At 38.0% G+C, this 17940-nt stretch overlaps 3 annotated features.

Annotated features, from left to right (window-relative positions):
- Positions 14090–14259: an enhancer, noted in NCBI's record as "experimental_91213 CRE fragment used in MPRA reporter constructs". NCBI's record gives its function as "activates a minimal promoter by MPRAs in K562 erythroleukemia cells, with activity observed for the non-introgressed 6:165327218 variant allele {active_cell/tissue: K562}" and the evidence as "EXISTENCE:reporter gene assay evidence [ECO:0000049][PMID:34662402]".
- Positions 17276–17445: an enhancer, noted in NCBI's record as "experimental_91215 CRE fragment used in MPRA reporter constructs". NCBI's record gives its function as "activates a minimal promoter by MPRAs in K562 erythroleukemia cells, with activity observed for the non-introgressed 6:165330404 or rs77999093 variant allele {active_cell/tissue: K562}" and the evidence as "EXISTENCE:reporter gene assay evidence [ECO:0000049][PMID:34662402]".
- Position 17361: a transcriptional cis regulatory region, noted in NCBI's record as "Neanderthal adaptively introgressed variant 6:165330404 (GRCh37/hg19 assembly coordinates) or rs77999093 in the experimental_91215 CRE". NCBI's record gives its function as "modulates activity of the experimental_91215 enhancer by MPRAs in K562 erythroleukemia cells {active_cell/tissue: K562}" and the evidence as "EXISTENCE:reporter gene assay evidence [ECO:0000049][PMID:34662402]".

The raw sequence follows: 17940 nt of genomic DNA on the forward strand, positions 1-17940 counted from the left end.
GAGTTCTGAAAAAACCTGGTAAGATAGCAGGTTTTAAAACTGTTTCTATGCCTAATTTTGATAATTATTAACTGTTGCTAAGTGACGACACTGAGGTAATGATAAGAAGTTCATCCCTGGTGTGATCAATGTGATTATACTCTGTTCCATGCACACATGATCCTGAAAATGGAACATTGAAGAGTCTGTAGTAGGGACCTTGCAAACCCAGTGTTCAAATGAAACTTGCAAGCAATATTAATAGCGGATGAGGAATTCTCCATCTTGTATACTAGTGGTACTTTTATGATATCTCAGGGAGCCTTAAAATCCCGTGCAGGTAAGCCGGGCGTGGTGGAGGTAGGCCGGGCGTGGTGGCTCACGCCTGTAATCCCAGCACTTTGGGAGGCCGAGGCAGGCAGATCACGAGGTCAGGAGATCGAGACCATCCTGGACGACACGGTGAAACCTTGTCTCTACTAAAAAATATATAAAAAATTAGCCGGGCGTGGTGGCACGCGCCTGTAATCCCAGCTATTCGGGAGGCCGAGGCAGCAGAATCGCTTGAACCCAGAAGTTGGAGGTTGCAGTGAGCCAAGATCACCACTGCACTCCAGCCTGGTGACAGAGTGAGACTCCATCTCAAAAAAAAAAAAAAAAAAAAAAAAGAAAAGAAATAGAAAAAGAAAAAAAAGAAAAAGAAAATTCCATACAGGTAAAGACTTCATGAGGGTATGACAAAGATGACGTCACGGGTACAGTTTTACTTCTCTCAACTTCGTCCAGAGGAGCTCCAAAACGTTCAATTAATTATAAACTTAGTCTAATTGATAATGTTCTGCATATTGGTCTAACGTCTTTAATACTGTATCCATTAAGTTTAAATAGGCATTCTTGAGCACCCTGCTCCAAAGCTTAAAACAACATCTGCATTAATTTTCAGCATCAGGACATCTAGGTGTCAAAACACTAGCGTAGGCTGTGGACACATAAGCCTTTGGTTTCTTTTGTCACTGGTAGTCATATGAAGGCTTCAGAGGAATAAAAGTTCTTCTGCATCATACTATACCACAATTCTATGTTTATTAACCAAATAAATCGAGAAACAGTGGCATTAGACACAAGGGCTGCAGAATAAAAATCATCAATAACCTGACCTGAGACTCAGGAAGTCGCTTGGCACTGAAGAGATGCTCTCCATGAAGTGTTTCCACTGGACTCGTCAGATGCATAAAATGAGGACCAGTACCCAGCTCAACAAGGCCTTGTTGAAACAGGGCGTCACATCCTAAGAAGCAAAAACAAACGGGTCTTTAAATCACAACATCAGAACCAATATAGAGCCCCACTTCTCAAATGTTAATGTGCACAGCTGTCGTGAGATCTTGTTCTGATGCAGATTCTGATGTAATAGGTCTGGAGTGAGCTTGGAGGCCAAGATTTCTACATTTCTAACAACTTCCCAGGCAATGCTGAGGATAGCCAGCCAGGGCCCACACTTTGAGTAACCAGGCTGTGGAGAGCTAGGAAGCTGTCCCAGAAGGCAAATTGTTCTGGTTAGCAGCTCTAAAGGGTAAATTGCTCTTTTAAAGGAAAGCCTTCACACTGATCATTGTATCTACAAGCAGAACTGTAAACTAAGATGGCCCTTTCAAACAACTTAATCACAATTCAATGGCAACATTTTGTCACCTGTCATTCTCCTAAAAATCCTGATTTCTATGGTCATCACCATCAGCACCTTTGAATACAAGAGTACTGGTATATCAGAGAGCCCAGATTATAAAATTCAATTTATTTCAACTTTAAAGGAATGAGCATGCGGTAGTGAGATGGCCATGCTTTCATCAAAGAGTTCTGAAACAATCCTGCAAAAATGCAAGGCTATATTATGTTGATCAATCAGTTGTAGATGCAGTCATTTCATTTGGAGAAACAGCCATCTTTCTGGTGCTGTTACAAAAAGTATGGAAGGTACTGACCCATTCTGAAGCTTGGACATAAAAAGGACCGTATATATGATGAATAATGGTAGGAAAAAATCACCTATAGAAAAGAATGGAATGTCAAGTTCTCTCTGTAATGGTATGATGCTTGATTTCAAGTGAATTTAGCCAATAAAGTCCATGCCCTTAAGAAGTTTATAATCTAAGATCTAAAGGGGCAGAGTCCTGCCTTCACTTTCCAAAGAAATAAAGAATTCAAATTCTTTGTCACAGAGAACATTGATGACACAGCTTAGGGGACTTTGCAAGAAAGTAAAGCAAGATTAAATTTCCTTATGAAGAGATCAGTAAACATAATTCTATCACCCTGTCCGCTCAATCAGAAAATCGTTGCTCCCTTTAATCTTCATCACTGATTCTGACCAGCAAAACTGGAATACCTTGGTGGCAAATACTCTGTATCGACAGAGGAAAAACCAGTTGTGCTTTTGGAATTTTAGATGTTCCTATGAAAGACATCTGGAACTTATCACATTCTATTGCTTTAAAGATTAACTTGGGTGAAAATATCAGGCAACATGTACAGCTGGTAGACCATGACTCAAATGGTAGGAAACTCTGCAATGCACCCCTGCAGCTCCACTCCAAATGGCAAAGTGGAAAGAGGGTGGAGGTGGCAGCTATGGGTCCCTTCAGCATCAACACTTCTGCTGCATTTCTTGAAAACAAAAGCAGGCTGGGGAAATAGGTAGGGTAAGACAGGAGTGGCATCATAAGAGTGATTATTCAAACACTCACTAATCAGACCACATTATGGAGAACAAAGTTATTTCCAACCTCCAGTCAGTTTAAACAATACTGATTATGAAACAAACTTATAGTACAAGCGATAACATATTGTGTTTAGCTTAATATGCAGGTTTTACCCTACATATACTTCTTTAAAAAAAAAATCTTTCAGGGAGAAATATGTGATGATCATTTCTCTGTATAAACCAGTATTTCCCCCTGCCCCGGAAAATGGCATCTATAAGAAGCAGGAAATTATTCATTAGAAATGTAAAAGAATGGCTTAAGGAAAAGCAACTGAATGGATCACATCTGGGAAAGAAAGTTTCTCTTATCTCTCCTTGCCCAGCCTGTCCAGGCATTATTACCCAATTACGTCTCTTAGATTTCTCTCCTGACGCTCATAAAAGACTCCTAGTTTAAATTCAAACATTTAATTTGATATGTCTCTGTATATTTACTTCAATATTAAAAGGTTTTGGGCTTAAAGTACAAATAATATTTATATAATACCTTATATCCAAGAGTCTAATATCTTTTACATGTCAAATAAATGTGACATGGAGTACTATTAGTGTGAAAAACTGTACTTCCCTTCTCCTTAAACTCAGGATGATTACCGTAATTATTTCAGCTGAACCAGGATGGACATAACACTTCACTGAAGACCTGGTGTAACTTGAATTTTTATCTCCCCTTTGAAAAAAATGACGTTACAATATAATGAGATGGGATATAATGGAGAGACTCTGCTTCACTCATTTTACACTACATCTGATCCTGTTGACAATGAAATTCCTAGCCTGGATGTTAAATTCACTGCCTTGTGTTTTCACCAGGTTCTTTAAAATTTTTTGATACTTGACTATCAACTTCTGACTTTCCATGTTACCATATTCCCACATGCTTATTTCTTCTCTGTTTAACCACTAATTTCTGATGACTGTGGTCCTACAAGTCCCATTGCGCGACTATGTTTAATTGACTCTTGCATGCCTGTCTTGCCTTTGATTCTTTGCTTTTCTTGACCTTGACTTTCATCACATGCAGAGGTCTGACTCCCAAAGCTCAAGGACTCCTTTCTCTATACCCAATTTGGGCACCAGCACGTTGGCCTTATCCTCTGCGTCACAGTTTGTAAATCCACATTTATCCATGGCGCTGGCAAAAAACAGAAGCTTGGAATACATGTATCAGCAAGAAAATCACACAATAAAGAATTTGTAATCAAAAGTGATAGAATGGCAAAGTAAAGATAATATAGGAATCATAAACAATGGAAGCAGGAAATACACTGCTTAGTTCATTTCCACTCTAAGTCCACCCTAGATGATTTTCAAATCGAGCCACTGTTTTTACTAATTCAGGATGGTGAATAAAGTTTTACTTTATACACAGAAGACAATGACGATGCTCAAATGATTTGTCCCAAATTAGTTCAGTCACTGCAATCATATGAAGCCAAAACAATGGATTTTCTGAATGTTAAACTAGCATCAAGCATTCATCAGTGTAATTTGCTGGGCTGCATTTAGATAAAGCTGAGTAGATCTTTATGATTGTCTCCAATGCACAGAGTATGGCAGGATACAATTATTCTCTCTACCAAGAGAGTATGTTTCTGTCATGTCAAATTACTAACCTTCTGCAGGGATGAACTTCTCTAGAAAGCTTGAAAAGCATTTCTACTTCTATATGGCACTGAATTTTTATCATAAAAAGATAAGGGAAGTTTTTTTATCTTCTTTCAGAAAAGTCTATTACAGTACTCAATGCTATGATTAGAGAGATGGTGACTTAAATCTCTTGAATATCAAAAGAGAGGAAGACAGCCTTTGGCCATAATCACTGCTTAGCTGCTTTGGTTAAACAGGAAACTCAGAAGGATTCCTCTCATTTTAGCTTTTGGGTTAGGAAAGAAAATCTTTGATCTTATGTACCTGCCTCAGACTTCTTGGTATATTATGGACATTTTTACTTCACTATGTAAACCAGACAGGAGGTTTTCAGAGATGCAGAAAGATAACTGCATCTTTCTGTGGAATGTTAGAGGAACTTTATATTTCATATCCAGGAAGGAGTTTGGTTGATAATCCAATTCCTGTGTTTCCATCAATGTCATATGCACTTTCTCCTGACTACATATTAACCAGACAATGTGTTGTATCTCATGATATCTGATTAAAATAATGTGAACACTTCTATTTAACAATAATAGTTTCAATTGATTCCTTCAATATTGGTTACATTTTACTCTATAATTTTTAAAAAAAAATGTATTCTGGCTCCACCATTTGTACATAAACTGAAAATGTGAAGATCATTCAAAGCAGCATGGAAGAGGAAATAATTGAGGTTAATACGGGAGTCCTGCAAATAAGTTTTCTCCTCATTAAGTAGAAAGATCTACAACAGGTTAAATGGACATATCATGAATACCCTTTTGGAAAAATCTATCCTAAAAAAATAAATACTACCTGTATTAGCCTGTTCTCACACTGCTAATAAAGACATACCCAAGACTGAGTAATTTATAAAAGAAAGAGTTTTAATGGACTCACAGGTCAGCATGGCTGGAGAGGCCTCACAATCATGGCAGAAGGTGAAGGGAGAGCAAAGGCCCATCTTACATGGTGGCAGGCAAGAGAGCATGTTCAAGGGAGCTGCCCTTTATGAAACCATCAGATCTTGTGAGGCTTATTCACTATCATGAGAACAGCACAGGAAAGCCTGCCCCCAGGATTCAATTACCTCCCACCAGGTGTCTCCCATGATATGTGGGGATTATGGGTGCCACAGTTCAAGATGAGATTTGGATGGGGACACAGCCAAACTGTATCACTTGAATGCAACAATGCAGCTAATTAATAGACAGGACAATTTTGAGATTAACCTGCTGATTTAAACATATTTTAAAATATATATTTAAATCACTAGTCAAGATGCATGAAAATGACCTGTGATGACATATAAATAACAAGCACTCAGTGGGCAAGCACCAGTCATCTGTATTATAAATGCCCCACAACTTACCCCGGCAGCAGAGACCCAATGAAATGTTAGTTTAATTTTAAATGAATGAGTTAATTAATTAGTAGTCACTTATATTTTGATTGAAATAGGCAAACTATTTATCCTGTAACTGGGGAGAAATTTCTTAGTTATCTAACTTAGACTTCAGTAAGTTATCCAAGTGAAACTGAAGAGAGCTTGAAAAAGCTGTTAAGTTGTCAGTGCATATGTTCTCAGAATCACAGCTACAGATGGCTTTACTGCTATTTCAGTTGGTGAGGAGACCACTATCAAAGAAGATATTATAGCCTCAAGGCTCTATTCAGTTTCAGGCTTTGTTTATTTGTTTTTACTTGTTATTGTTTTTCCAACAAAAAAATTAATTCATTTATACCATATAAATGAAAACATACAGAAAAACAATAGTAAGAAAATAAAAATCACCCACAACACTACCACTGAGATTTCCCTCTCAGCAATTTATTATAATCTGCCAAGTTATTATTCTATTTATTGTCATTTTATTTTTTTCAGAAAGAGATCATACAGTACTCACTGATTTAAAATATGCCTTTTATATGGCGAAAATACATCTTATAAAACATTACTCTTCAACATAATTTGAACTGACTACATAATATTCCATGGGTAGGTGTGTTGTTAAATTTTAAAAAATTTCTTTTGATGGACCTAAGGTTATCTCAATTTTCTGACAAAAGAATAAGACTAAAAACCTGAAAATATCTTTACTTTTTTAGGCTGACTTTACATAAATAGAGTTGCTTGGTCAATAATTTTGGTCAAAAATTTTGGATCAATTTGCCATCTTTTTAGATGTTCATAACATTGTATTTTTCACCTCACTGTCATTGATAATGTCTATTATCATTCATTCTTATCATTCTCAATTTGACTAATCATTTCCATTGTGGTGAACATAAAAATGTTTTTGTATGTTCATCAGTCTTTCTGTTTCTTCCACAAGGAAACTGCTATTTGTAGTCTTTAATCATTATTTCTATTGATTCATATTAATTTTTCTTATTTGATTCATGAAGGTGTTTAAACATTAAAGATATGAATGTATGCTTGTCTTATACATACAAATTATTTTTACATTTAAAATTTTTCATCTACAGTTTCTTATGATAAATCATGCGCCCAAGAAACATTAAGACATTCTCTTAGCCATTGAACATTATCAGTTTTGAACCATTGAGATTTGTGTTAATTATAATGTTTACAATATAATTTGAGATAACTGAGGACCTATCACAAAATGCAAGGCGGCCTTTTAAGGAGCTGTGAAAGTAGATATTTTGCAGTAAGAAAGACCAATAAATTTCTACATATTCTTTTGTTCATTCATTCAATTAAAGTATTGAACCACTGATAAGTGCCAGGTGCCACATTAAACAATAGAGGTATTTGAGGAACCTTCCCTGTATTTTGGAGCTGACAAAATGCCAAATTAGCTTTTATTATATGCTTCTGAATTGCACAAGTATCAACCATCTAGCAAATAAACATAAGTGAAATTAGAAAATTCATCAAATTCTATCAATGTTCACCATGAATGCTACTGGTGAGATATATATCATGTAAATACATATCAGACTTATTTCTTTACTCTTTCATATGGTTGTACCATAATGTTTTGCTTCTGAATTTCTGCCAATTATGCATCAGGAGCCAAGAAACCTTTTACAAAATTGCACAATATGGCTTGAGAAAAAGACTTTATTGGAGAAAAAGAAAACCCACTATACCAAAGGCAGTCCCCTTCTCTCCCATCATCACACAGGGAGGCAAGCTAGGGCCAGGCTATTGCTCTGGAAGGGCAAGTCCCCATGGTAATCTGGCCTCCTGTGGGATGAGCATAGTGATGCAAACTTCTCAATGGGGGCAGGCACGGGCTGCCTGGCACCCCAAGAAGTCTGGATGTGGGTGCCAATGCTTTAGAAGAGTTATCTAGGAAACCCAACTGCTCAAGCAGCTTGGAAACAGAAAGTCTGTGGGAAGGACCATCTCCAGTATTGGGGGGAAAATGCCATCACTCTCCTACCACTACAGGAAGGAGGAACTCTCAGTTCTAGTTAGTTCATTGCCCAGAAAACCCAGAATGAGCCTTTAGATATTTTTTGGACACTCTTGCTCATGGCAGTACACTTATTATGACATATTATAATAGTCAAGGATCTCATTAAAGGTCACAGTGGCAGGTTATATTTTCCATGAAGACCTCAAAGGGTCTCCTATTAATTCCTTCCTATACTGTGACTTGGACACCCTTACCATCAAGTGCACCCTGAGTGGGATTGTGGCTACTGTGAAAGTGACACTATGTGATTTTCGAGGCTAGGCAATGGACATTCTCTGCCAGATCCACTTGATACACTTGTTCTTGGAAGCCATTCACCATGAGATGAGAAGCAGAGAGGCTACATGGAGCATTTATGCATAGGTGTTCTTACAGATGGCACACTGAACTGCCAGGTGACGCCCAGTACCGACCTGCAGACATGTGAGTGAAACTCAAAGTGACCTCAGCCCAGCCACTGCAAGAGAGACACCAAGCAAGAACCATCTTTTAGAGTCTAGCTGTGGTCCAAAATCATGAGAGTTAATAATAAAATGATTGTTGCTTTTTAAAGCTACTCTGTTATGGAAGCACTTATTATGCCCCAATAGACAACTAGAACATATATTTTTCTGGACCTTAACCAACAGTTAAGTGAAAGTGTCTTTCATTTAACAATTCTGCACTTCTTTTTAGTTCCAATAAATATATTCTATGGTCCTAGGTAAATTCAGAGGGATAATGAATATTTCTTTCTTTACCAATAACTATCGATTTGATTGAAACTAGAGGATTCCAAGGGAAGTGCATGTCCAATAACTGTATCAATTGTCAGAATCAATGTGTATTGATCAAAAGAAAAACGAATTGAAGGAATACACAATCTTCCATAATTGCTAAATGCATTAAGATATTTCACATTCTAAGTGAATTTTAAGATTTAACTATAATGGCACCTTTATGTCAGGCCAAGATGGACTCAACAAGACTAGATTTTACCCTCTGCCTGAAACAAGCTAAACAAACAAATAGACAAAATACATGAAACAATTACCTTCGAGAGACTGGACATCATGCCATTAAAGACAGTGATCCCTAGTATATTGGAAACAACTGAGGTGAGCCCAATAACCACCACAGTTTTTTGCCTTCAAAAGTTTTCAGGGAACAGCACAGAGAAGAGGAAATTAGGTGAAATTTTGTGGTTCTGTGATTTGAGGTGCCAGAGTAAAAGCTTTGGGGGGACCAAGCTGTCTAGAAATCACAGGACTGCATATTGGAGATGAGAGACCTAGAGAGAGAGAGAGAGACTAAGATAGAGACTGAGAGAGAGAGATCCTGATCGTTGCAGAGGGTCCCTCTCAAGTTTTTAGCAGAGTATCAATCAGTGCATTTATATGACAAAAAGTATCTGATGCTGAGAAAGAAATCATTTAAAATGACCAAAATGAACAGGGAAAATACTAAAAGCAGACAGAGAAAAAAATACACATTGTGTAGAGAGGAACAAAGTTAAAGATAATAGGAGATTCTCATTGGAAACAATGCAAGTGAGAAGAGAATGGAGCGACATCTTTAAAGTACTGAAAGAAAAAAGCCTGTCAACCTAGAACTCCATATGTAGAAAAAAATCTTTAAAAACAAAATGAAAAACCAAGACATTTTCAGACATGCTGCAAATATTAAAATAAGCCAATAAAGGGGATACTGTGGAATTATAAACCATGCTCTATTACTCCAAAAGAAAGAAAAAAGGAGAAAATGGTAACGAAGAACAAACAGGATAGATTAAAAAGAAATATGATGATATAATTGCATATATCAATAGTCACATTGAAATATAAATGGTCTAAATATTTCAATTAAAAAGGATTGCCAAACTGGATTTAAAAAGCAAGACCAAACTATGTGTTGCCTACAAGAAATGTACTTTAAAAATAAAGAAAAATGGTTAAAAGGAAAAGCATGGGAGAAGATATAATCATGCTAACCCTAGTCAAAAAGAGATCTGATAGACTATATTAATACCAAACAAGGATTTCAAATTAAAGTACATTACCAGAAATACGTCAGATATGTTTATAACCATAAGAAAGTAAATTACTGAAAAAGATATCACAATCCTAAATATTTATGTACCTAATAGCAGAATATATTCTATTTGAACTATTCAAAAATATTAAAGTGGAGGAAATTCTTTCCAATCCCTTTGGTAGGGCCAGAAACCAGAAACCTGATACCAAAACCAGAAAAACAGGCATTACCAGATAAGAAAAGAATAGTCTGATATCCCCCATAAACATAAATGCTAAAATCCTTAACAAAATTTAGCTAATTGGTCCAAACATACATAAAAAGAAAATACATTATGGGAAAATGTGGTTCACTATAGCAATAAATGGTTGGTTTACTATTCAGAAGTCTATCAATGTAATTCAATATATTAAAAAAATTAAAAAAATAAACATGATCATCTCAATAAGTGCATAAAAGTATCTGACAAAAATCCAACATCCATTTGTGGAAAGTGCTCTCAGCAAAGTAGAAAAAGAAGAATATGGTAAAACTTCCTCAACCTGATAAAGGTCATTTACAAAATTTGAAAGTGATATTACAGTTAATGGTGAAAGAATGAATGATTTTCCCTAAGATCAGAATTAGACAAGAATGTTTTCTCTCTCAACCACTACTTAGCGTTATACTGAGATCATAGCCAGTGCAATCAGCCAAGAAATAGAAATAAAGGTCATCCTCCTAAGAAGAAAAAAAACTATCTTACATTGTAGATTACAACATCATCCGCAAAAGAAATCTGATAGACTGTAAAAGAAGGTATAATACTAGATCTAATAAGTGAGTTTACCAAGTTGCAGGGTAGAAAATTCTACAAAACTATTTTGTATTTCTATAGGCAGTTGACCCTTGGGCAACATGGATTTAGACTGTGCAGGTCCATGTATATAGCAGATTTTTTTTCAATTAAACTTGGATCTGGAACACAGTATTCACAGGAAGGGAAACCTACCATGTGAAAGGCAGACTTTTTGTATACGCAGCTTCACAGGGCTGACTGTAGGACCTCAGTGGACATGGATTTTGGTTTTGGGGAGTAACCTGGAACCAATCTTTTGCATATACCAAGAAACAACTGTACTTGCAATAAACCAATGGCAATTGAAATAAATAAAATTCCATGTACAATAGCATTAAAAAATGTTAAGCAATGAATTTGACAAAAATACAAGAAGTCCAAACACTGAAAACTACAAAACATTGCTGAAAGAAATTTAAGGCCTAAATAAAATATTTCACGTACGTGGTTTGGATGACTCAATAAAGCTAAGATGTCAATTCTCCCCCAAAATGATCAATAGGATTAATGCAATTTTGATTAAAATCCCAGCAGGACTTTTTTTTTTTTATCAAAACTGACAAATAAACAAACAAAGTAGATATAAGGGAAGTTCATATGCAAATGCAGGCATGCCTGAAGTCTTAAAGAATGGAGCTTCAATGCTTGAACCTCATTTTCTCTGTGGAAAATAGTTGCAAATGTAAGAGAATATGCACATCTGAGTTACAAAAAGTTAGACATTATGTAGATTATAGTAATAAATGTGGCAATATTATTGAGGAAAACAGTTTTCTAATGTAAAGCCAGCATTTGGGGGAAGATAGAAGAGAGAAAATGCAGGAAGTATTTTTAGAAAGTCAAAATGAAGAACAACACAGAAAATGTCTGTACCCAAAGGAGGGTGCATATAAATAATTCCATGATTACCCATAATTTGGGGTTTTGGTACAAAGTCTTTCCCTTCTATTCTCTCTAATCTTCATAAGAAATCAGATAAACTGAATTCCATTTTCTGCAGGCAGAATACTGGCATTTACTTGCATCGTCTCATGGTCAGAGCTAACTTATCATGATCTCAGCCATGTGCCAGTCATGCTGTAGGTCAAAAGGAAGTGAATAAAAGAAGACAGAAGTATCTCAAAGAGATTGTATGGCAAGAAAGAGTTTTTAAAGGAGAGTAAGATACTATCCTCCTTCACATGACTAGCTCCTGGTTTTCAAAACCCCTGCTTTTTTTTTTTTTTTTTTCTTTCGCTTTCAATATCATGATCAGGGATCTTATTCATAACACTGACTTTGTGTACACACTCTACTCTGTCACTTCTTGTATTCCTTTATCGTTGTTTATTTTATCTGCAGTAGCTAAGATAATGTAGGTACTCAAGTATTTTCAACCCTTTGGTTGAATTCCCCAATGGAGCAACGAGATTATGAAGTGACTAGATGATTCAGTTGAATTAAAAAAGAATATTTGGCTGTGGATTTGATCAAAATGCTTACACAACTTTATCATCATTTAAATACCATTCTCAAAATGGCAATTGGTAGAAGTGTTTATGTTGTGAGAATCCTAGAAAATCAAAGGAGGGAGTTACTGAAGTGAGAGTGGTCAGCAAAAGTGTGTCAAGTAATTCAAGTTGCCCAGATCTTGGTATTCTAATTTAAAAAGAAAAGAAGAAGAACTCCAGAGATTTCAAGGCAAAAGTGACAATTAGTGGTAGCAACACCTTTGGGAATTTACTGCCTAAAATCTCCTCTTTTGAAGCCCGTGTCTCTCTCTGCATAATAAAAGTGTACTCTGCAGCTCCTCCCCTGACCACCATGGGCAGGCCCTCAGAAGCTTATTCTGAATCAGATCACAGGGTTGTACACGATCTGAATGTAGCCGTCAGCTACGGACTACAGGACTTCTGCAGGAAAAAAAAAAAAAACTGTGTCAAATAGGCGGATTCAAGGTAAAGAAATGGCTGTCTTCCTTCCCTTGTCCCAAAAAAGTATTTTCTTTTCTTTTCCAGTTTTGATCATTAGGTTAATCTACTGGAAAATTAATATGTGTTCTATATTTCAAGTATAGAAAAATGACCTTTTTTAGTTGTTCACAGCTGCAACTGTGAGAAGCTGAAATTAATATTGTTGCTAAATGTGGCCATGAGCTGGAAAAATGCCAGTGCTTCTATATAAGGGCACAAAGCCTCCTCTCTTGGAAAAGAGTGTGGCAGCTGCTCAATCCATTTCCCCAAAGGACAAGTGAATTTTAAAGTGACTCCCCACAATTTGAGCACGTAAACATTTTGTGTGAATCTCCATTATCCTTAATATGTACCTGTGAACTTTGGGGATAGACAAACAGGTCTGTACTCATTATGCTTCCTGAGAGTTGAATTGCCAGCCAAGACTCTACCTGAGTTGAACAGAAAAACCAGACCACACTGGAAACTTGAATATCTACGCACCTGCACAAAAGAACACATCTGTGATTCTGCAGGATAGAGCACACCTGGCCCACACAGTATAGTACACCTGGGATTATGTTTAACATAGCACACCTGGGACTATGCACACCTGGGAGCATGCACACTATAATAGGCTTTGCAATCAGCACAACATAGCCTACCTGGGAAGCTGATCACTTTGGAATCTGAAGACCTAGGAACCAAAAGCCATAGCACACCTGGGAGCCTGTATACCCTAGCACACCTGGGAACTTACACCACTGGGAAACTGCACACCATAGCATACCTGGAAACATGCACAATTGAGCCCCTGTACACCTGAAAACCTGAACACCATAGAATATCTGGGAGCATATACAACGAAGCGCACCTGGGAAGCTGCTCAGCATCACACACATGGACACTATGGCACACTATAGCACACCTCTGAATTTGCACACCTAGGGGCTGATCCTTCCCCCGTTACTCCAGGAGCCTTGCCAACAGTGATGAACTGAGGAGACTTTGTTCACTCACTTCATCAAGGAGAATTAGATTTAGCCAGAAAAGTAGACAACTGGCCACAAGTTTGGGTCCGTACATTTCTCTGCAATGAAAGGCATGGGTCAGGAGAGGGAACGGTATTAAATATCTCCTGTATTCCCTGAAAAAGAGCAGAACAAGTCCCTCAGATATCAACCAAGGAGGGATTAGAGTGCCAATTCTCTCTAAGTCCCCCTTGGTCGATCATACACAGTGCATAGTACATAGATACCCTGATTCCAAAGTGTCTGATTTCACATCAGCACTTAACTAATTTTAATCATCATCTCTCTTCCAAATGTAATTATGCATCCTAGACTTCCTTTCCCTTTTTAAAAAATATTCCTTCTCAGTAGACCCCACAGCATCCCTGCCCTGACCCCGCATGCCTTCCACCCCCACCTCCTGTCAGCACGTGCTGCACCAGCAGCCATACCCCACAATGGAACAGCTGACCGCACTGGGGCCTTTCCGCAACTGCATGGTGGAGATTGTTTTTAACCTGTATATGTAAGGTTTGCATGTAGAGTGCAAGGGCACGCACGACTGGTAGTGAGCAAGTACAACTTGGTGTGATTCTGTTGGTAAAGAGCGGCCACCCCAAGCTCCCCTAGTCCCCTTCACTATGACTCTCCTCCTCCAAAACTGGATTGCATCATGATCCAGCCGCTGGAAAGGACACCCCTGGCCCAGTCTGGTCTGAAGAGCCTGCATCAGACCACTGCCAACATCCATCTATACAGATTTTCTGCATTCAGCCCTAGGGGTCGTTAAACATCTGAATGCTGCATAAACCCTGCCTCTGTTTCTGCATCTTTGGCTTAATCTTCACTTCTGCCCATTCACTCCAATAAGATCACCCTATCAAAATCCTCCTTTGTCCACCGCAGGCCCCAGATTCTTTCTTTCTTGTCTTAGCTGACCACCAAGCATATATTATAAACTGGTCTTCTCCTTACCTCTTGACGTCCTCTCTTTACTATGCATAATTATGCCCCAGTTAGTTGATGTTACTGGCACTTGTTCTCCTTCTAATTTGCATGACTGTCTTCTTTCTCCCCCTTAAATATTGGAATAACTCATGGTTATCTCTTCAGGCGCTTTCTCCTCTTTCACCTTGAAGCCTCTTCTTCTTCCATGACTTCAACTTCAGATTAATGACTCACAAATATCTCTCTTTAGTTCAGAATTCCCTCTAAGCCTTGGTCCTAGATGCCTATTAATATCAATTCTGATTGCTTCCAGAGCTCCTGAAATTCCACATGTTCCAAATTTATATGCCTCATTTCCTTTTCAACTTTGCTCTTTGTCCTTCGTTCCATATGGTAATGACATTCACCAAGTTATTCTAATCAGAAGCCTAGAGTTCATCTTAGTCCTTTCCCTCTCCCTTACTCTATGAATCCAAACATCAACTATGGTCCGACGATTCTTTCTCTTGAACATTATTCACAGAAGCACTCTCACAGCCTTCTTTACTGTTACAGATTATGTTCCCCAAAGTTAATACTAAGAAAAAAAATTAGGTATAAGTACTTTATGTTGGAGAAATCAGAGGTGGAAAAGAGAGACAGGGAAGGAAGGTAGCCAATAACACATGTGCGATCAATCAAGTCATCACTGTGAGTAACTGGAGGCGATTCCCAAGAGTCAAAAAGTCAAGAAAGCTGGGAGCTGTCTCCACTGTGGACTAGAAATCAAGCTCTTCTTTGGGGCAGGAAAAGCCACTGTGACATGGCTTATGGCCTTGGCTCCTCTCTCACCCATTACAGGGTTCCCATGCCCAGTGTAAGCCTTAGAGCAGGCAAAATTCACGGTCCCCTCGTCTGCCCCAGCTGCTGTTCCAGCTGTTCCAAGCCCCAGTATTGCATCTACATTGACAATGTAGATGAGACTGCTCAACAGATGCCTTCTCAATAATGCTCTTTCTCATTCTAGAGGCAAAATTGCATAGATCCTCACTTCTGCTTCTACTTTTATCTCTGGAGATGTCTATTCAAGGAGCTATGTTACTTTTTTTTTTTTTCTGCTCTGTTTCTCCCACTAGACTGTGATTCTTTCTGTGAGGGGTCCAGGGCAGAGCCATCTTTCTCTGCAGCACTGGCACAGGGCCTGCAAGTGTCTGGACCATGGCTGTGTGTGTGTGGGCGTGGGAGACTACGGAGCTGAGGAGCAAAAAAGGAAGCTATGATGTTATTTAATTTTGAAGCTTCTAGTGAGTAGCGTGTGTGTGTGTGTGTGTGTGTGTATCTGCATGCACGAATGTGGATGTGCAGAGGAAGGGTAATTAAATGTCTGATGCAATTTAGCACCATTCCTTTCCTTTCATTTTTCCGTTTTTGCTCTCTGAATTGATAGCACACAGTTGGCCTAAACCCTGTATTAAGCATTTCTGATGGTTTTGGCAGGTTTCCTGGTGAAGTACCAGATGTGCAGGTATCGGAATAGGGACTGCCAGCTTATATCCGTGGAGAAATGAGCGAGCCTATAAAATTCACACCTCTAAAATGACAAAAATAGGTATTTTATTTTTTATGAGACTATTTTCATGCGTATATGGATATTGACAAAGGGGTCAGCAAATAACTACTGAAAAGCAGGGTAAGTAGCAAGCAGTTTTAATAGACAGATATAATATCTTAGATTTGAAAGTGAATCTGATTACAGACTATATTTCTAACCATATCATTGTCACCTCTGCCACTTTCTTTTAATATACAGATTTTTTTTTGCATCTCCTTCATCACAAACATCTACACTGCTCTCCAATAGTCAACATAATATTTTTGGAAGCATAGACTTTTAGTTGGTAAAAGGCTTGGTTACAGAAAACACAGAGGGCCTGGATCTCTACTGCAACCACCTTCTTTCCACTGCCTCCTCCAACCCTGGGCCTCATGTGTCCCTGGATGAATCTCCCATGAATTCTAACTATAGGAGAGGGGATAACAACGAGCAGGAAGGAGATATTTTATTTTTATACCTGCTGCCAGTAGATTGCTACTCACATTGCTCTGTAAAAAAAAAAAAAAAAAATGTGTTTACAAATGCATCATTATACGGCAGATCTTAAGTTGCACACTATTAGCTGTTACTATTGACTATATTGTCAGAGCAGTGCTGCTGCCCGGGAAAGGTCAGGTCTTTTCATTTGTGTTTTTTATGTGATGAATAACAAATAATGAACCACATAATTTATTGGGCTACTGTGATTTCTTTCTTATATCTGCAGAATAGTTACCAGTTTTATACTTTCTTTGCTGACATCAGACACATCAGTTCATAGCTATTTCATTTTTCAATCCCAGAAAGGAGATATGATTGGGAAAATTACTGCTCAGAAGAACAACTGCAAGCAAATTATATTGCTTGTGCAAATCTTCACATGTTATCTCATGCCTTTAGCCAAAAGCTGAAAGACATGTTGGCTCTGATAACAGGAGTACAGGTCATCAATGGATCTTGGAGGTGTCAAGTAATAGCCTCTTCCATTTCCACACACATCAGGGGCTCCAGTTGGTCTGAAGATGACAAACAGAAGTACTGCACTTTCTCTACTTAGCAGTTCACTGGCTAAAGAAAGGTGTTAACCATAAGCCAGGAGAAGAAAAACAGCAATCGTAATGTGGGGCCATTAACTCTTGACCTCCTAGGGAAGCATTATGATGCCAAGGCAGGTTTAAGTCAAAACATTCTTGGCAGATAATCACCCACTCACCAGGCACGTGTGTGTGAGCCACACCTACTGCTTCCAGGAGCCACACCAGCACACCAAGACCTCTTCTCCAGCTCACAGATAGCCTGTGACTTTGGATATGGGTAAGCAGGGTGCAGGAAGTTGCTAAATCGTCATGAGGCCCTGGACTTCACAAAAAAAACAAAGCATATAATTCTGAAGGTTCTAGCAGAAGAGATCTTTGGGAACGGAAATATTAGTGAAAAGAAAATGGTCTCTCAGGGTTGTTGCAATAATTAAACAAGAATGTTACATGTGGCTATTTAAAGCAAATAACAAGTTATATTTGATTGCTTAAATATATACTCTCACTCCACCCTCTCCACATTTAAAAATTTTGATGTCACAATTTATATTTTTAAATTTTATTTCTTAAGAAATTATTATAACTCTTATTGGTTTTGATGGTTTTGTCTTTTAACATTCACACTAAATATATGAAGGACAACTGCAAGACAGCTTTGTCTTGTTCAGTATTCTTGGTTGACAGTTTTGTATTGCTTTTTTTCCTTCAGTCCGTTGAGTATATCTTCCCACTCTCTCCTGGCTTATAAAGTCTCTGTTGATGA

This window comes from Homo sapiens, chromosome 6 (assembly GCF_000001405.40).
Source record: "Homo sapiens chromosome 6, GRCh38.p14 Primary Assembly".
Classification (NCBI taxonomy): domain Eukaryota; kingdom Metazoa; phylum Chordata; class Mammalia; order Primates; family Hominidae; genus Homo; species Homo sapiens.